This window comes from Homo sapiens, chromosome 12 (genome assembly GCF_000001405.40).
Source record: "Homo sapiens chromosome 12, GRCh38.p14 Primary Assembly".
NCBI lineage: Eukaryota > Metazoa > Chordata > Mammalia > Primates > Hominidae > Homo > Homo sapiens.
In genome coordinates, this window is record NC_000012.12 from 52,392,783 (window position 1) to 52,412,324 (window position 19,542).

The following is a 19,542-nucleotide window of genomic DNA, read 5'->3' on the forward strand; positions in this document are numbered from 1 at the left end:
GAGTGATAGTGCTGACTCACCTTGTACCTCTGTGGGGACCACGCTCAGGAACTGCCAGGCTGTCTTCCACAGTGGCTGCCCCATCTTACATTCTCTACCATCGGCCCCACATACAGTGTCTACTGCGCTTTATGGGGTAAACTGGCCGTGACCAGGGCTGTCTCATTCCGCACTGAGTCTCCAGGCCCTGGGTAGCCAGCCCCATAGCAGGTGCTTGAGAGATGCAGAATGAGCCAATGAGAATGTGAAGGAATGGGTTCTGCTGACTATGCTTGCTCTCAGATCTGACTCTAGACTTCCCTTCAGCCCCTGTCCATACAGTCTTCCCTGTGATCCTGTCTCTGACCCTCGCCAGGCAGTCGTGAGCTGCTTCTTGGGGCTCCCATGCTGTTTGGCCCTCATTATTTATGAATCTTCTCTCCGGGAGGCTGAGCGTCCTTCCAAGGTTAAGAGGGAGTCTTAGTCAATTCTGCAGCACCAGCCTCTAATGCAGGGCTTGGCGCAGCATGGGTGCTCTTTGGGGAGAGTGGGGAGTCATCCCAACTCTCAGGAGAGGGGAGCCATAAGGGGGAAAGCACCCCCCAGGAGGGGCTGTTTCAGGGGGTCGGTGAGGCAGAGGAAAGGGGACTGAGGCCTCACAGAGGGTGGAAGCACCGCCGCCAAATCTCCAGGTCTTGGGCTCTCTAAATGGGGAGAGGAGACTGGAGTGTCCTGGTCCTCCTCACTCCATGGGCTGCCACCATCTTCACTGCTTTCCTGGAGCTGGGGGTATCCAGGCACTGAGAATGGTTCGGGATAGGGACAGAGCCTAGGGCTTGGGGGCTGCTAAGTCTAGACACAATAGAGGACCCCAAGGATTTTCTCTAGGATGTGTATAGGACACCATGTAGTGAGGAGGCCTGTGTGCAATGGGCTTGTGGCTTTTAACATGGCAAGTGACTTGCAAACCATTGGGGTGTGACGTGCAGGTTTTAAGTGTGATTTGTATAGAGCCCTATTTCTTCCACAGGCAATTTGCAAATTATTTACATGTAGTGTTTCTGTTTGTATAATAGTCTTCATTTCTGTTCCGAAGACTCCAGTCCCAAAAAGCTGCTCACCAGTTCCCCCTCAGCCTTATCACACTTTCCACAGAGCAGAGTAAATAATCCTGATTGCTATAATCCATGAACAGAGTAGGTTTATTTTGAACAGAAGCCCAGATGTTCAGGGCAGAGGCCCTGGAGCCCCAGTGGGACAGGCTTGGCATGAGGGGCTTCTGGGAGGTAGTCAGCCCACACCTCCTCCATCTATGAGCTCCTGAGCCAGGGCCTCCAAGTCAGCTGGGGCAGCCCCACATCACTGTCATATCAGACTCAAAGCAAAAGGAGCTAAAGGGTTGGGGAACAGGAAGGGGCGGCTATGTACAGAAGGGGATGGGTGGAGGGGGAACTGATTCCATTGAGAAAATGGTATCTGTTTTTGGTTTTCCAACTGTCCAGTAAACATTCCATATCCCTTTGCCCTTTGTTCTAGGCATTGGCCTGACATCACCTGCCAATGTGAGCTCAGGAGAAAGATTTATTCTCACAGTTTGGGTTCAACATACCTGAGAAAGTAAATCTACTGCCCAAAGGCCACCTCTTGATTCTCTGTGCTGAGAGGACATTGGCAGGTCCTGACTGATCCTGAAATCGTGGCACTTGGCTTTGGAATTTAGAGTGGGATTTGGGGGTGTCTCCTTTTGATATTTGCAGTGTGCATGTTTCAGGCGGTGTTAAAGGAAATTCACTTTTCTTAGGGGCATGAGAGCCTAAAGTAAGGGCAGTGTGAGCCTGTGGTGGGAGAGGAGCTGACTTTGTGAGGAAACTTCCATGGGATGATCCACAGAGCAGAACTGTGGTGTGCCCATTTGACCTTTTGGGGGTTATTGCCATTCTGCGGTTAAGAGCAATGCATGCTCTTTCTCTGCCGTCTGTCCCCACCATCTGGGCCTAGCTGAGGGTCTGCACACAGGTGAGTGGAAGGTGACTCATGAGGCAAAGGAGGGGTCCTAGGGGCAGCTCAGCTCTCAAGGAGGGAACACTGGAGGGGAATGTGGAGTCAATAAAGGGAGGTGGGGTTTTGGAACATCCTTGTCTTCAGCCCTGGTGGGAGTGTGACATCCAGGGCCATGGGGCAGGGGCTCTGTCTCCTGGATGTCTCGGATCATGCTAATGCTTGTGGCTGGGGGAGCTGCCCCCAGCTCCTAGCGTCATGCTGGATTTCCGCCCGCTCCCACAGCTCAGTAGCCCCTGGGGCTCGCAGGGGACATAGAGTTCACCAGTGCCCACGATGCTGCAGCCCCCATTGCTCCTGAGGACGCCAGTGCTGAGGACAGGCGTGCTGACCCCACATGGCTCGTACAGGAAGGCGCCTTTGGAGCTGCTCACTGCTGTGGGAACAGGAAGGGGTGCTCAGGGCCCCACACGGTGTGGCTCTCAGTGTACTGCCCTGAAACTACTCAGCCAGGCCATTCCTCCCACCTCCTGCCACTCACCTCTACAGACACCCCATTCCAGCCTCCAGCCTCCGCGTCTCCCACCCTAGCCACATAAAGTGCTTGCAAGGTCCCCATGCACCTCTCTCCTTTCCCTAGAGCCTGGGCAAGGCCAGGCTGGATTCAGCTTCACCATTTCTCAGTTTCTACTGGTCCCTCCTTCCTAAGCTTGCTTCAAATCCTCTTCCTCTAGAAGAGCATCCTCTTGTCAGGGTGGTTATTTGTGGCTTCTGGGCCCTGAAGCACTTGGACCATGTTGTTGCAAATCTGCTCCTAGTCTGACTCCCAAAAGATTTGGATAGCCCTTTCCACCAGCCTGGGAGCTCACGGCAGACAGAGCTCTTCCTTTGGGGTAGGGGAGGCATCAGAGGTCTAGGAAGGGGTGGTGTGGGCTGCCTGTGTTGGGGTGATCAACCCCCAAGACTCCAGAGCCAGTGGGGCATGGCTCATCTACTTACAGATATTCACGGGCCCGATGCCTTCGCACAGCCTGGGGATGAGAGGAAAAAGAAAACAGGTATCTACATCAAACAGATGCAGGTAAATGCAGCATCTCCCCGCTCCCGCCCTCATTGTGGACCATGTGCTGCTGTGGGTTTTCAATGAATGTGGGTAGGGGACGGGGTGAGAGATACTAGCAGCCGCCACCAGAGGGCTGGGTAATGGCCATACCTGGTAGCCCATCTTTGACCCCCTCCTGGAGGAGCTCACCTGTGCTCTTCACCCTCCAGCAGGCGCCTGTAGGTGGCGATCTCGATGTCCAGGCCCAGCTTGGAGTTCATCACCTCCTGATATTCCTTGAGCAGGCAGGCCATGTCCTGCTTGGCCTTCTGCAGAGCCTCCTCCAGCCCTGCCAGCTTGCACTTGGCATCATTGAGAGCCGCCTCGCCCTGCTGCTCTGCCTCAGCTATGGCACCCTCAAGTTTGCAGCGCTGTGGGAGGGGCGCAGAAAAGCATCACTGGGGGCCCTGGAGCCCCAAGCCAGACTCGCAGAAGAGCAGAGAGAACACGGGGGTGGCTACGTGCCAGGCTCACATTTGCGAGCTTCATCCTAGGATTGCGACATCTGGTTCCTCCAGGGAACTGGGATGGGTTTTCTGTCTAAAATACCTCCAAGAGAGCGGGGATTTTCCTCTTAAGTATGCTGAGAAATTTCTGTGGGGTTAATATGTTTTAAATGCCCAGCTGGTCTTCCCTAGCCCAGGAGAATGGAGTGGGTCTGATTTTATGAACAACTGAGAGTCACCTTGAATTTCAGGATCATAGAATCACAGTCTTTGGGTCTGAAGGGACCGTGGAGTGCATCTTTTCTATACTTGCACCTAGTGAAGCATCCTTGCTTCTCATCTTTGACATTGGTCACCTCGTTTCTGTTGGGGACCTGACTATTTCCTGTGGCTGCTCATCCTGCTGTGGGTCAGCCCTTTGGTAGAAAGGGCTTGCTTCTGCTTGAGCAAGGCAGCACAAGTTTATTCCCTCTTCAATGGCACTCACAGCAAGGATTGAACCCGCCCTGCACGGCACAGACTGGCCAGTCAGCCCAGGATGGCTGTTGCAGCAAGGAAGTCCTCCCCAGCCTCACCTGGGCTTTGACATTCTCGGTTTCTTGCTGCAGCCGCTGGATCAGTTTATTCATTTCCAGGATCTCGTTCTTACGGTTGCGGAGGTTGTCACAGTGGTTCCCAGCTGTGACTCTCAGCTCCTCATACTGCCAGGACAGAGAGGTCAGAGCCCCAGGCCCCACAAGATGGCATCTCCTAGCCTCTTTTCTCACTGTTCCCAGTCTTTTCTCCCGTGACTTCCTAGTTCAGGTGTTCTCTGGTTCTCATACTGGTTCTGCTCCTTTACCTTCTTCCGCTTCTGGGCAATTTTGGGTCCTTTATGTGGGCTGTTCCTGATTCCCATCTCACCCCATCCCCAGCTCCAGGCTTGTTAGATTTTTCTCCAGCCTCTGAGATCCCCTCCTCTGTTGAGCTGTTCTGTGTCTGGTCCTTTTCTCTGTCCCAGAGCCCAAGTTCACCTGAGGGCTCCCTCCCTTTTAGATATGCCTCTGGAACTTGGAAGGGGTTTCTGTGCTCAGCCTGGGTTGCCTAACAGACCAAGGACTGCCCATTAGGATGGGTCTGCCCATCAGGATGAGAACATTTGTATGTTTTCCACAAAAACAATAAAAAAAACAAAATGCAATTTATGTCCTACCTTGAGGTAACACTTTTTTATAAAAACCTTTGCACTCTGAATCCAATTTCTGAATAGTAGTGTGTACAGATTACATTTGTAAGTTTTAAAAAATTAGCTGACTTTAGATTTTCTGATAGTGAGTGGGAGCATATTATATAGAAAATGCAAAATGAGAGATAAGCACATAATCACACTCATTGGCTCTTTTGTTATTTGGTTACAGTAGGAAAGTCTGCAGTTGCCTAGTAAATATCCATTGTCCTCTTCTTAAAACAGAACCCCTGGCTGGGCTCAGTGACTGACACCTGTAATGCCAGCATTTTGGAAGGCTGAGGCGGGCAGATCATTTGAGGTCAAGAGTTCAAGACCAGCCTGGCCAACATGGTGAAACCCCATCACTACTAAAAATACACAAATTAGCTGAGTATGGTGGTGCATGCTTATAATCCCAGCTACTTGGGAGGCTGAGGCAGGAGGATCACTTGAACCTGGGAGGCAGAGGTTGCAGTGAGGCGAGATTGCACCACTCACTGCACTCTAGCCTGGGCAATAGAGCAAGACTCCATCTCAAAATAAACAAACAAACAAAAAACAAAAATAACAGCAACAGAAAAAACCCAGAACCAAATAGAACACTGCTTTTATTTAGGGTAACAATGAGCCCAGATAAGAGAATATTTCTCAGTCTTCCAATCAATGAGATCTATGACCATGGCTGGGTAGGGCTTCTGGGTAAGCTCTTTAAAGGGGGGAATGACCCAGTTGGCTTTTTTTGCCTCTGTTCTCCTTGCTGCCAGGCGTAAGCATGTGAGATTGGAGGTGCTGCAGCTTTCTTGGAACATGAGGCAACCAAGAGGATGGAGCATGTATTACAGATGGCAGAATGGTGAACTCAAAGGATCCTGGGTCCCTGATGATGTCACAGAATCTCTGTGTCATCCTGGGCAGTCTATTTTGTACTTCAAGCTACTTTAGAAAAAAGTAAAAATTCAATTTTAACTTTTTTTTTTTTTTTTAGAATTTCTGATCCTGGTAGCCAAATGCAATCTTCAACTAATAGAATTTTCTCTAAGATTCTGACTTAGCAGGATGGGAAAATGAGGTGGTTGTAATCCTGAACCCAACATGGCTGATGGTTGTTGCCAGGGGCAACCAGAGGAAGGGCCAGCCAGAGTGAAACCTGGCCGTGGGTGGGTCACAGACAGGTTCACCAGGAGCTGACTCCATTTCAAGTTTTCATACTTCCAACCACCATGGAGCTCCAGAAAATGGGCAGAGCATCACTTTGGGCACTCCCTGGGCAGTGGCACCCACTGCCTTCAGAACAAAGCCAAATGACTTAGCACAGCCCTGCAGATGCTGTGACCTGGCCTCAAGCTACCCCTCCAGCCCGATCTCCACAGCACATGGCACTCCAGGCCCCTCAATTTCTGCTGCTGTGTCCTAGCACCTGCTGCTCAGCCTGGCACACCCTCCCCCCATCTCCCCTTTGAATCTTATTTGTCCTTCAAGATTAGATCAAATGACAACACCTTTGCCTTTGTGACACAATTTGTTCCCTCTGTCATCAAACTCCCTTTACCTGCTGCTCCACCTTTGCAATCACTTCCTGCTAGCTGGTGTTTTGGTTTGGGAAGCACATCCTTGCTGGCCACCCTAATTGAAACTGCACTCCAACACTCCCTACCCTTCCCCTGGTTTATTTGCTTCCTAGCACTTGGTATCACAGTCTAACATACATCCACTGCACTTATGTGCCTTGTTTATCATCCATCACCCTGCCCCTCCAACCCTACCCTGGAACCCAGCTTGTCTCTGGAATGAAAGCGACATGAAGGCAGGGACTAGTGTCTGTTCTGTTCCCTGCTGTGTCTCCAGCTTCTAGAACTGTGCTTGGCACGTGGTTGATGCTGAATACACAGTGTTGAATGAGTGGACCAATGAGTGCATGCATGCATGGCGCCTTTCACAGGCAGGGCAGGAGAGGCTGAGATGATGATATTTGTTAAATCTAATTACCCTTAGGGCCCCCCTGCCCTCCAAGCAAGCCCCTAATTATTAAGTCTGAGGCCATCTTAATCACTGTTTCTGCTCTACCATTAGTAGCCACCCCATGCCACTAGCCTCCTCCCACGCCTCGAAGCTTAGAGCCCTCTTTGCCATCATTACAGTTCAGTAAAACCAATTAGTGTTTACTGAACGCTGCCTACAGGAGCACTTCCAGTGAGTCTGCAGGTAAAAACTGCTGGGCGCCCTGGCACCCTGATGACAGGCCTGGATTGTCCGGGGCGGGGAGGGGTCCCTCCCACGTGCTCTGCAGGGAAGTGGCCTGGGGCCTGGCAGAAACAACAGCAGCTGGGCTTTATGGGATTCCCTGTGTCTGTGGCATGGCGTGGCTCTCATTAGCTCCTCACCCACTTCTGCGGAGAAGGAGTCTGGGGGTCCTCCCCTCCCCTGGTTTGTCACCTCTCCAGTCTCCCTGCCCCCAACCACAGGGCCTCACCCGGCACTGGTACCAGGCCTCTGCTTCGGCTTTGCTGCGGCTGGCGATGTCGTCATACTGCGCCTTGATCTCAGCGATGATGCCGTCCACGTCCAGCTCCCGGCTGTTGTCCATCTTCACAATGACCGAGGTCTCAGAGATCTGAGACTGGAGCAGGCAGATCTCCTGGGGGCAGGGCCCATGTGAGAAGGAGTGAGCTCTCTGAGCGTCCGGGGACAGGAGAAGGGGAGAACCCGTTCTGACCTTCCCAGAGCAGAGTGCATAGAACTCTGCTATGGCTGTTCTGGGCTTCAGTCACCAACTGACTCCTTGTCCCCACCCTCTGGTTGCCCAGAGCTTGGTGGAGACTTTCCCAGAGGGGCCTGTGAGCCATGGCCTGGATGATCCAACTTCTGTGAGTCTCACCGCCTGAGAACGTCTCTACAGTGCGGACCTCTTTCCATGCTTGCCCTGAAATGTACCCACTGGGCGGCCACTCTGCTGCCCTCTCGATCCCTTGGCTCCAGCCCTGACTAACCACCCAAGGTCAGGGCTGTGGGTACCTCCTCATACAGGCTTTTCAGGAAGTCGATCTCCTGCACGAGTGCCTCTGCGTTGGTCTCCAGGTCAGCCTTCATCAGGAAGGCTGTGTCCACGTCCTGCAGCAGAGCAGGGACAGAATGTGACCTGGCTGGGCCACCTCCCAGGCAAGCTGGTGGCAGGGGGAAGGCGTGGGGCTCACCTTTCCTCACGAACACCCATGGGCATCGAAGGGGTGATGGAGCCGAGGTGGGGAAAAAGGGGTCCCTAGCCCTGGGACCCCAGGCCTGGGCCTGGCTTCCTGATGGGAAAGGATCTGAAGGGGGTGGGGCTTAAATGAGCCTTAGCAGCAGCATCTCAGAGCCCACTTTGCAGAGCCTGGGCCTGGAAATACCTGGCTACCTGTCTGAGGAACCATCGCAATTGTATTTGGGGGCTTGCGGCAGAGCTTTTGAGCTTTTGTTTTGGTTTGGCGTTGGCATCTGTCCCATCTCCAGCTGCTCGGGCAGGGTTAGACATGACTTTAACCCAGCTTCGGCCTGCATGAGTGGGGAAGTGGAGGCCAGGCCAATGGCTGGCCTTTTGCAAGGGGACAAAGTTGGGGGAGAGGAGGCCGGCCTTCCTCATTCTCAGAGTTAGTGGGGCTGGCACAGGAGTCTGAGGGGCGAAAAACCCTTTTTCAGAGTGGGTGGGCTGCAGACACGTTTGGACTGAGTTCAGGGCTAGGTGGCCTGGGGCAACGCAGGCCAGCTCAGGGGCTCTGCCTCTCTGAGCTTCCTCCTTACCTTCTTCAAGGCAACAAACTCATTCTCAACACAGGGACGCAGGGAGAGCTCCTCTTCGTATCTGATGGAAAAGGCAGGAAAAAATGCTTTAGTCGGGCTTGTGGATTTTGGAAGAGATCTTGGCATCAGGCCTTTGGGGGCAACTCTGCCTGTCACTGACTGAATGCCCTGGGGAGTGCCCAGGTCCAGCCCTGTCTTGGCAACTCTAGCTCCTCCACCCACTTGAGATGGATGAGTAGCCACTTGTCAAGTTTACTCTTCTCCCCATTCCTCAGGAACCTTCTCCCGCGATGAGTCCTCCCTGGGAGATCCTCCTTAAGGCTACCTTCATTCTCTCTTGCTGCTGAGGAGGTTCACTTCACCTAGTGGCCTCCCTTGGGAACGTAGAAGAAGGCTGTGCTGCTGGCCTAGCTGTTTTTTTCTGAGTCACTGAAATTCCCGGCTGACCCTGTGCATCCTCCTCGCTGGGAGGGTTCAGAGCCTGGCCTCTACCTGTGGTCCATTTGCAGAGGTAGCAATTATCCATCTTACCAGACCCACAGAGACAGCCAGGCTATTTCCTCAGGCTCCTTGGGGCTCCTCAGCCCACTCACCACTCCCCTAAGGCAGAGGGAATTGGTCAGGGGGTTCAGTTTGATAAGCAGCATCAATTCATTAAAAGCTTCTCTGCTTCATCATGTCCATCTCTCTTTTTTTCCAGCAGAACTGCTGCAGCAACGGCCCTGGACTCTGGAGCCTAGCCCCCTGGGTTTGAATTCTGGCTCTGTCCCGTGCAAGCTGTGGGCAAGTTGGGTAAGTGACTTGGCCTTTCTGCCTCATGATGCACAGCTTCGTCATCCATAGAATGAGGCTAACACTAGTTCTGCCTCACAGGGCTGTTGTGAGCTAACATGTCACATGCATTAATACCTGAAGAGCACTAGGACAGTGCCTGGTACAGGCTCTGTACTGTGAAAGTGTTTGCTATTATTCTTAAAATACCAGTTGGACCTCATCCTTCCCCGATTGTCTCACTTTTAAAAGCCAAAGTTCTCATCTTGAGCTGCAAATCCTGTCTCTTAATCTCACCTTGCTACTCACTCCTCAAGAAAGGCATTGCTTCTGCTGACAGGCTGGCCTCCAGCCCTCCCACAGCCTCACTGCATCTCACCTGTCACAGTCTGCTAGAGTTGTCCCCTTCACTTGGCAGGCCCTTCCTCTTTCTTGCCACCCATTCCTGTCCTTTCCCCATTTCCAAAATGGAGGATAATGCCATTGGAATGAGCCATTATCCTCCAAGGGCCAGAGCAAATCGCACCTCCTCCAGGAAGGCTTCCTGGACTCCCGCTCTTTCCCTTTCTTGGGATTCCTCTCCCTTCTTCTCTGTTTGTGTGTAGGTGCAGGTGGTCTGTGCACACTGGACTGGGAAAGAGTTAGCCTTTTTTCTTTCAATAGCACCCACACTTTCTAGCACAGTGTCTGGCATTGAGTAGGCATGTGGTTGACACCTGCAGTGAGTGTCCCCAACACGGCTCCACTTCACTGACCCAAACCCTTATGACCTGTTGCTCTCAGTATATTTGCCCTGTTTCTCCTCAATAGAAAGACACCTGTTTCAACTTGCCTGCCTCTAACATGCACTCCCATAGGACACTGGACTGTCACAAGGCACTGGATTCCCATGGGGCACTGGATTCCCATAGGACACTGGATTCCCATGGGGCACTCAGCCCGGGACCTGGTGAGAAAATTTATCTGGGCCTCAGCCTCTTGAAAGCACTTAATTACCATATGCTTATCAACCACCTACTCCAAGCTGTGAATTAGACCTGGAGCTCATCCTCAGGGGGAGCAAGTGTGGCAGAAGACAAAACAGGAACCACAAAGAACTGGGAAGTGAGGCAGAAGGAGCTAGAGCCTGATATGCAGGGAAAGGGCAGAAGGGCTGTGCAGGAAGCCAGAGTTGGGGGTGAGAGAAAAGGTGGGCTGTGGTAGCTTGGACATGGAGCAGAGAGATGCTGACAGGGGTGTGTCAGGCAGGAGAAGCAGCAGGAACAAAAGCCCGGAGGGAAGAGGCCTGGGGATCTGTCTGTGGAATAGGAAGTAGTTCAGGATCTGCAAAGGCACAACAGGCAGTTTCAGCTGGAAGCTGGAGCTCCAGAAGCCACACATGAAAGAGCTTATTTTACAGAGAGAGAGAGATCTGAGGGCTTTATTTAGGTGGAGTAGTGGGGAGAGAGATGGCAATACACAGTCTCAGAGCTCCTACCGTGTGCCAAGTGGGGTGCCCTGCTGACACCATCCCACCTAACTGTTCTGCCACCCAGTGAACTAAGTTTAGGCTTCCCATTTTATAAATGGGGAATCAGGGCCCAGACTGTTTCTGTCCCTTGCCCCAGGTCCACCAGTGGGGTAAAAGCAGCACTGACTCACTTTTTCTTGTAGCCCTCCAGTGCAGCCTGGAGGCTGCAGAGCTCTGACTCTAGCCTCACGCGGTCCCCGGACACACAGTCCAGCTGCCGCCGAAGGGCGCTGATATAGCCCTCGAAGATGGGCTCGATGTTGGTCTGGCAGCACCTCTGCTGCTGCATGAAGTTCCACTTGGTCTCCAGCAGCTTGTTCTTCTGCTCCAGGAAACGGACCTGCAGCCAAGAATGGAATATCACCAGGCAGCAGAGATCCTGGGGACCATGACTTAGAGAGGGCAATGGAATGAGTTTCTGCCCTGTCTCCCAACACATGGCTACCAGTGCACTAGAATTTGCAAAAATCAGGGTCTCTGCATAGACTGGCATCTGAGGGCATGTGTGTCTGTGTCTCCCCTGCCTGGGAGAGCCTAGTGGACCCCTACTTTCCACTCAGAGGTTGCGTGTTGTAGTGGATGGTACTTCTCCAAGAGGCCTAGGCAAGTCCTGTTTCAGCACTGCCTGCCTGCCTCTCTCTATCCTCGTGACCTTGACCAAGACATCCTGTCCCTTCAAGCCTCACTTTGCTTCCCAAAGCTCCTACCTGGGACAGTGTATGGGAAGGGACTCTGTTAACTTCATACTAGTGTCAGAGGATGTGAAGCTTGGGGGTCGAGGCTTTCCTTTATGACAGCCTAGGGACACTCAGGGGAAAAGACGGATCAAGGGACTCTAAGCTCTTTTCACCTACTGTGCTGCATCCTACATGGCTGTATCTGAAAAAAGTCCAGGTCCTAGTAATGTGGACAGCTGCTGGCCTCCTCCTCCCTTTTCGTAAAGTGGAAACTGAGATTAGGAGTTGAGTAAGTTCACCATGGCCACCCGGCTGGACATTGACTAAGGGAACGTGGTCTCCAGCCCTTGCTCTGGAATTTTCCACATCGTGCATTGTCTGTCAAGAAAACTACAGAAGTATCATTGCCCTACTTCTGGTCAGTGGCTGCATCAACAGGAGGCTCCCAGCCTAACAGAAGGTGGTGTGATGTTGTTGCTAATTCGGGCCCATGTTTTTGGAATAAGTTTATAGCCAGAACTTAATAAGCTTTAGAAATAAAACTGTAAGTTTGACTAAACAAGTTCCTCTGTGAAGCACTTTGGCATATATTACCTCCTCTAATCTCCCACCGTCATTCCTCCCCTTCCTCACTGGGCAGCACCGTCCAAAGGCCAAGAGGTGAATGGCTTGCCCGGGGATTCCGGGTGTAGGAGTAGAGTCAATGCCAGTGGCCAGGGCTCCTGACCTCTGGCCCAGGACTCTTGCCCCTAAACCTTACGGTCACCAGAAACACCAGCTCAAACTGTGGAATGAATCCTCACCCCAAGAGCCTCCCTGGGGCGTGGGATGGACCCAGAGGCTGTTGAGTCCTTCAGCACCTTCAGAAGGCATGCCACATCTTTTCCTGCAGTGGGTGCTGTACTGTAGATGTGGGAATCTGCGCTCTTCCTGCAGTGGGTGCTATACTGTAGATGTGGGAATCTGCACTGTTCCTGCAGTGGGTGCTGTGCTGTAGATGTGGGAATCTGCACTGTTCCTGCAGTGGGTGCAGATTCAGTTCAGCACCTTCTGAAGGCATGCCTTCCTAGCAGCCTTTCAGTGGCTCTGGAGATGACAGATGTAAGACTTTTGTGACCGTCACCCTGTGCCTCTAGCTCTGACTGTCCACTTTCCTCTCATCCCAGGCCTAAAATGATTGGAAACTCTGAGGTCACAGTGTCCATCCTCACCTTCAGGCTCAAGAGTTGTGACACAGCTCAGGCACACAGAAGGCGGTTCTACTGTTAAAGCCTCATCAGGAAGGGCATTTCTCTGCCTCTCTGGTCATTCCTTTCAGTATTGCTTTGGAAGTTCCTCTTATAGTCTGACCTCAGGCAACCTTGGTGATTGGTGATTTTGTCAGATAATATTCAGAGAAAGATGATATATTTTAAGAAAGACAAGGAAGCAGAAATGTTTAGTGCAGAATCTGATCTAACTGGCTTTCAAAGGCTGGTGGTCGTGGAATGTGAGGGAGGCCACTGGATAAACTGAGGCCTCCTCAATGTCAGTCTCCTCCTGGTTCCCTTGGACCAGAACAAGACCAGACCCCAGATCTGCAGTGGGTCCTCTCACGGCCCTGGGCCACTGCCCCCTTACCTTGTTGATGAAAGATGCGAAACGGTTGTTGAGGCACTTGATCTGCTCCTTCTCATCCCTCTTTACCCTCTGCACAGTCGGGTCTATCTCCAGTGCCAGTGGGACCAGCAGGCTCTCATTGATGGTGACAGGGGTGATGCAGGCAGAAGGCCCACAGGTGGCTCCCAGTCGGTACCCGAAGCCAGGCAGGGTACCTCCACACCTGGAGGCTACCCGGGGCCTCCCAAAGCCCACGTTGCACAGGCTCCGTGAGCCAAGGCAGCCCAGAGCTCGGAGGCCCCTACCACCCCCGGGCCGGCATGGCCCCTTGCTCACTGCATAGTGGGTGACCATCCGGGGCATGACAGCCGAGTATGAGCTGAAACTCTGACTGCCACACCTGGAGCCTGGCTGGAAAGAGTGGTACGACATGGCAGGAGAGAGAGGCAGAGAAATGCGGCCCTGGAGGAAAGAACCGGGGCAGGATGATCAAGTCAGGCTCAGCTTCCCCCCTTTTATCTGGTAGGGGGATGGAGGACTGAGATGTGTCAAACCCCAAATCACCATTAAACTAGGTTTATGAGCTTGGGATATTGGCAGAGCTAAGTAGCAAGGTGGATAATTAGGGTAGCGAAGAGCAAAGAGAAGGGGCCAATGGTCAGTGCTGGTGGGCCCTATAAAAATCCTATTTGTCCTCCTTCCTTGATTGTGGGGGTGATGAAAGGGGCCAACCAGACAGATATGTTCCATGTATCCAGTGGCTCAGCCTCAAGGAAAGGGAGAGTTGGGACTACGTCATTTCATAGGAGGGGAGGCGTGCCATGAATTATACACCCTGGCTTCTCTGGGATTAGAGGGCAAGTCCCATATGCTTAAAGATGCTCTGGCTCTTTCCCCAAGGCTGCTCCTAGGCTTTTTTGCAGATCCTCAACCCAAGTGCCCTCTGTGGGCTCCTAGGTGAGTCAGGAAGTTCCCAGGAGGAAGGCTTTTGGGGTGGGAGAATCCTCCCTACAACAGGCCGGACCTTAACCCTCCTGAGCTCTGGCTCAGTGACCCACTGTCCCATGAGGGTCTTGAAGGTAGACAGACTCCAGGCATAGACACTTTTCTACAGGGCCCATCAGTCCACAAAGGCTGCAGGGAACTCAAGAGGAGAGGCCTGGTGCTTGAGAAGGGCAGAGGAAGGGACGCTCTCCTCAACACTTCTGGGGCCCCCAGAAGGCATGATTTCAGCATCAGGTCTCGGCTTCCATGTGGCTGTTCCTTTCCCCTTTTGCCCAACCCAGCCTGAGTGTCCCTGAGGTCAACAGAGCCAGCTTTGGCCTGAGGATGTCTCTGGGGAGAGTTGTTGCCCTTGGGAATTTTCAGGTGGAGGTGGGATTCAGGTTTTCTTTCCAGCTCAGGTCGCAGACACAGCTCTTTGGAGATGTCTGAAGCCCCCGCCTCACTCTCTTTCCTCCTCTTTTCCATCAATTTCATCAGTGAAACTTTTGCCATGGCCGAATGGCCTTTCCCTTCCACACTGAGACTTATCACCAGGTCAAAATCAAACCAATAATAATAATAATAACAATAATAAACATTTATTGGGCATTTATTGTGTGTTGGGACCACTCCGTACTCTTTACATCCATGGTCTCATTTAATTCTCTGACCACACAATGAGATAGTTACTATGCCACAGACAGGAAAATGGGAAGCACAGCAGTTAAGAGCAACATCCCCAAGTCACACAGCTTGTGGCTGATCAGCTGGGAGTCCATCCTGTTCCTTTTGACTTCACCCTGCCATGCTGCTCCACAGCAGGGAAGCCCAGGTGAGGAATTGGGAATCTGCTGCCCATAAATGTTCTGTTGTCCCTGTCCGTCAGCCTTCCAACCTGTGGATTAGGAGACTGGAACTCAAAGGTTTCCTGAGCCTCAGAAATTCTCAGTCTCATTGTGACATTTCACACTCCCTGTCCCCTTTTTCATAGTCCTGACTGTGGGCCCCAGAGTAGTGGAGGAGGAGGGGTGCAAGGCGAGACCACAGGCCACAATGGGAGGCAGAAGGTTGGGTGAGGGGGTCCAATTGCAGGGTGTCAGGGGAAGAAGACCACACTCTTCCCTGGACTGAGTCCACAGAGGGGGCCCAGGATGGTGTGAATGTTGATGGAGACACTCAGAGGCCCCACCAGAGAGCAGATTCCCACTAGAGGGGGTGAGGGAGACAGTGAGCTGCACCGGAGGGCAGGGGTCACTGCAGCAGTGGACACAGCAGAGTCTCCCCGCCATGTCCAGGCCAGAGGAGGGCCTCAGTGAGCATGTTGGGCTCCTGGAGTCCAGAACCAGAGCTCAGGAGCAGAGGGCAGGGCGGTTCCTTGGATTCATTGTGGGAGGGAGGCACCTGTTTCCTGAGCCCCCCGAGTCCAGGGTTGCCCTCTGAGTGTGAGCTAGGGCAGGACTCAGTCAAGACCTAGACAGTTTGGCGGCATTTTATGAAAGTGGGTTCAGGAACTAGGGGGCATAAGGGAGCAGGCAGTTGAGAAGGGTGTGATTTTCTTCTGGAGCAGTGAACTCCGTCTTCACTTTGGCAGTGCAGTAGACAATCTCTACCTGCCTTTGGAATGCGTTTTGGCAGGTGTCTTGGGGGTTGATGACTCTTCAAATTAAATACAGAAACCACCCTTTGAAGGCCTCAAAGAAGAATCCCATGCCTACCTCACTCCCAATTCCACGCCAGCCTCCTCCTGTGTCCTTCTGGGGCTCAGCAATGTGTCCCCTCAGAGCGAGGAAAAACACCAAAGAAAGAGCCACCTCTCCTCTGAGTGCACTATCCTGGGCCTCTGCTGTGGGGTAGAGAATGTGGTGTCCTGGCTTAAGGAGCTTCAGTGTCAGCCATGGCTGAAGACACGGAACAGAGACGTTCCGAGGGAGGGAGATAGAAAAAGGGAGGTCAGAAGAGAAAGAGCAGGCAATATTAATAGATTGTCAAATGGAAAGAGTGGGAGAGGAAGAAGGGTGAAAAATATAGGACAGGAGGAGAAAGGGGGGTTGAGAGAGAGGAGGTGCGTGGGGTGGCAGTGGGGAAAGGTAAGTAGAAAAAGAAGTGAGAGTGAAAGGTGAAAAGGGCAAGGTTAAAAGGAAGGAGGCTCCCTCCTCTCCCTCTCCCTCCTCTCCCTCTCCCTCCTCTCCCTCTCCCTCCTCCCTCTCCCTCTCCCTCTCCCTCTCCCTCTCCCTCTCCCTCTCCTCATGGTCTCCCTCTCCCTCTCTTTCCACGGTCTCCCCCTGATGCCGAGCCAAAGCTGGACTGTACTGCTGCCATCTCGGCTCACTGCAACCTCCCTGCCTGATTCTCCTGCCTCAGCCTGCCGAGTGCCTGCGATTGCAGGCACGCGCCGCCACGCCTGACTGGTTTTCGTATTTTTTTGGTGGAGACGGGGTTTCGCTGTGTTGGCCGGGCTGGTCTCCAGCTCCTAACCGCGAGTGATCCACCAGCCTTGGCCTCCCGAGGTGCCGGGATGGCAGGCAGAGTCGCGTTCACTCAGTGCTCAATGGTGCCCAGGCTGGAGTGCAGTGGCGTGATCTCGGCTCGCTACAACCTCCACCTCCCAGCCGCCTGCCTTGGCCTCCCAAAGTGTCGAGATTGCAGCCTCTGCCCGGCCGCCACCCCGTCTGGGAAGTGAGGAGTGTCTCTGCCTGGCCGCCCATCGTCTGGGATGTGAGGAGCCTCTCTGCCTGGCTGTCCAGTCTGGAAAGTGAGGAGCGTCTCTGCCCGGCCGACATCCCATCTAGGAAGTGAGGAGCGTCTCTGCCAGGCCGCCCATCGTCTGAGATGTGGGGAGCGCCTCTGCCCTGCCGCCCCGTCTGGGATGTGAGGAGCGTCTCTGTCTGGCCGCCCCGTCTGAGAAGTGAGGAGACCCTCTGCCTGGCAACCGCCCCGTCTGAGAAGTGAGGAGCCCCTCTGCCCGGCAGCCACTCCGTCTGGGAAGTGAGGAGCGTCTCCGCCCGGCAGCCACCCCGTCTGGGAGGTGAGGGGCGCCTCTGCCCGGCTGCCCCTACTGGGAAGTGAGGAGCCCCTCTGCCTGGCCAGCCGCCCCGTCCGGGAGGGAGGTGGGGGGGTCAGCCCCCCGCCCGGCCAGCCGCCCCATCCGGGAGGGAGGTGGGGGGGGTCAGCCCCCCGCCCGGCCAGCCGCCCCATCCGGGAGGTGAGGGGCGCCTCTGCCCGGCCGCCCCTACTGGGAAGAGAGGAGCCCCTCTGCCCGGCCAGCTGCCCCATCCGGGAGGTGAGGGGCGCCTCTGCCCGGCCGCCCCTACTGGGAAGTGAGGAGCCCCTCTGCCCGGCCACCACCCCGTCTGGGAGGTGTACTCAACAGCTCATTGAGAACGGTCCATGATGACAATGGCGGTTTTGTGGAATAGAAAGGGGGGAAAGGTGGGGAAAAGATTGAGAAATCGGATGGTTGCCATGTCTGTGTAGAAAGAGGTAGACATGGGAGACTTTTCATTTTGTTCTGTACTAAGAAAAATTCTTCTGCCTTGGGATCCTGTTGATCTGTGACCTTACCCCCAACCCTGTGCTCTCTGAAACATGTGCTGTGTCCACTCAGGGTTGAATGGATTAAGGGCGGTGCAAGATGTGCTTTGTTAAACAGATGCTTGAAGGCAGCATGCTCGTTAAGAGTCATCACCACTCCCTAATCTCAAGTACCCAGGGACACAAACACTGTGGAAGGCCGCAGGGTCCTCTGCCTAGGAAAACCAGAGACCTTTGTTCACTTATCTGCTGACCTTCCCTCCACTATTGTCCTGTGACCCTGCCAAATCCCCCTCTGCGAGAAACACCCAAGAATGATCAATAAAAAAAAAAAAAAAAAGAGTCAACAGAAAAAAAAAAAAAAAAAAAAAGGAAGGAAAACTTTCCAGAAGAGAGATGTGTCTGGCACAAGAGAAGAGGAATAGTTCTGAGCCTGGAGGATTATTTTGCAGGAATCTCACAGGGCAGTTCCTAATGCAGGAGAATTAAAATAGGCTTTTCCTGGTGTATTTCTTGCAAACATTTTGGGCCAAGTGGCCTTCCCACACCCTCACATGAGCCTGCTTCCCTCCCACTCCTCTGTCATCAGGGCATTTCTGTTTAGGAACAGCAGGTCTAATATTGACTTAAATAAAGCAGACTTGACAGAAATTTGGCCATGAACTCTCATTCATTGCAGCCCTGGGCCATGGAGGGCTTTTGAGTTCTTGATAACATCATTCCATTATATTATGAATAAGCAAGAGTTGATCATATTTTGAAGGGTGTTGATTTCTCACTCAAATATCCTGCTGGTGGGAGTTGTCAGGGGACTTGGCTGGGGCCTGGGCAGGGGGAAGAAAGGAGGTGAGGAGGTGGCATGTGTGGCAGGGTGTGCAAGATGTGTCCTGGCCTGAGTGGGAAAACTGTTCCATCTGCAATGAGAAAGGTGTGTGGAAACTTGGGCCCACACTGCACTTAGTCTCTTTGGGGCACCGTGGTCAGTTCTGAGGTCCTGGGAAGGACTGCATAAGAGGCCTTGTCTTGTGGTTGCTGTGGGTCTGACTTAGACAGGAGGGGAAAGACCCTACTGCACCCCCTACTCTGGAAGCTTCTTAAGGGCAAAGTGCTAGCCCAGGTCCTGGCACAGAGCAGTTGAGTCAACATTGGTTGGAATGGATGCCTGTGGACCCTGCAGGACCCTGCAGAGATCGGGAGCAGGTGGGGTACCTCTGTGGGGACCTTCTGGAGGCAGAGGGATGGACAGGATGACCTCATAAGCCACTTCCTGCTCCTTGTACCTCCTGCTGTTGATTTTGTGTGTAGGACGTCAGTAAATATCAAGCCTTGGAGCTGGGAAGCTTGAGGGCTTGAGGGGAGTGGCAGTGGAGGCAGGTGCATGGCTGCTGTGACTCTCCTTGGTGGGCCATCTCTTGGAGACAATGAATATGTTGGAGCTGCTGTGACTGCTGGTCACAGCTGGACAGCTGATGCCACTGCTCCTGTTGTTGTGGCAGAGGCCACTGCTGTGGCCACCCCCACCCACACAGAGGACGCTGCCCCCACTGGAGCCTGTGGCCCCAGGGGAAGAGACCTCAGCTGTGGAGAGAGGGCTCAGGATATGTTGGCAGGTTCTTCCCATTTCCCACGACGCCCTTCCTGGGTGTGATCCCCATGCCTGCTCCCCTCCCGCAATGCCTTGTTCCAGGCAACCCTCCCTTCCCTGAGAGCCTCGGGGAACGCCTGAGCCAGTGTGAGAGAGGGTGGGCGTGGACTCACCACCCCGTCACACGCTACCTTCTCATGAACCTCTGCACAGGGCATCGCCATACTCAAGGCACATTCACAGCTGTGACCATGTGGATCTCAATGGGGCTGAGAGGACACCATTACTACAATAACCCCCATTTTGTAGAGGAAAAAATGAGGTGCAAAGAGATCAAGTGGCATACCCAAGTCCACGCCCACCAGAAGCCAAGGCTTTT

The 19,542-nt window shown here is 53.4% G+C and overlaps 1 protein-coding gene across 1 annotated transcript, besides 2 other annotated features; it reads right to left on the reverse strand.

The window, feature by feature from the left end:
* Positions 1,149-13,553, reverse strand: KRT82 (keratin 82). The gene is made up of 9 exons (NM_033033.4): positions 13,085-13,553; positions 10,919-11,127; positions 8,507-8,567; positions 7,745-7,840; positions 7,203-7,367; positions 4,101-4,226; positions 3,230-3,450; positions 2,977-3,008; positions 1,149-2,413 (listed from the first exon to the last, which is right to left on the reverse strand). The coding sequence occupies exons 1-9, from the start codon at positions 13,493-13,495 to the stop codon at positions 2,193-2,195; spliced, it is 1,542 nt and encodes a 513-aa protein (NP_149022.3). The 5' UTR covers positions 13,496-13,553; the 3' UTR covers positions 1,149-2,192.
* Positions 2,919-3,420: an enhancer, noted in NCBI's record as "H3K4me1 hESC enhancer chr12:52789485-52789986 (GRCh37/hg19 assembly coordinates)". NCBI's record gives its function as "activates a minimal SCP1, AML or CMV promoter by ChIP-STARR-seq in naive H9 embryonic stem cells {active_cell/tissue: H9 hESC(naive)}" and the evidence as "EXISTENCE:reporter gene assay evidence [ECO:0000049][PMID:30033119]".
* Positions 3,543-3,712: an enhancer, noted in NCBI's record as "experimental_29013 CRE fragment used in MPRA reporter constructs". NCBI's record gives its function as "activates a minimal promoter by MPRAs in K562 erythroleukemia cells, with activity observed for the non-introgressed 12:52790194 variant allele {active_cell/tissue: K562}" and the evidence as "EXISTENCE:reporter gene assay evidence [ECO:0000049][PMID:34662402]".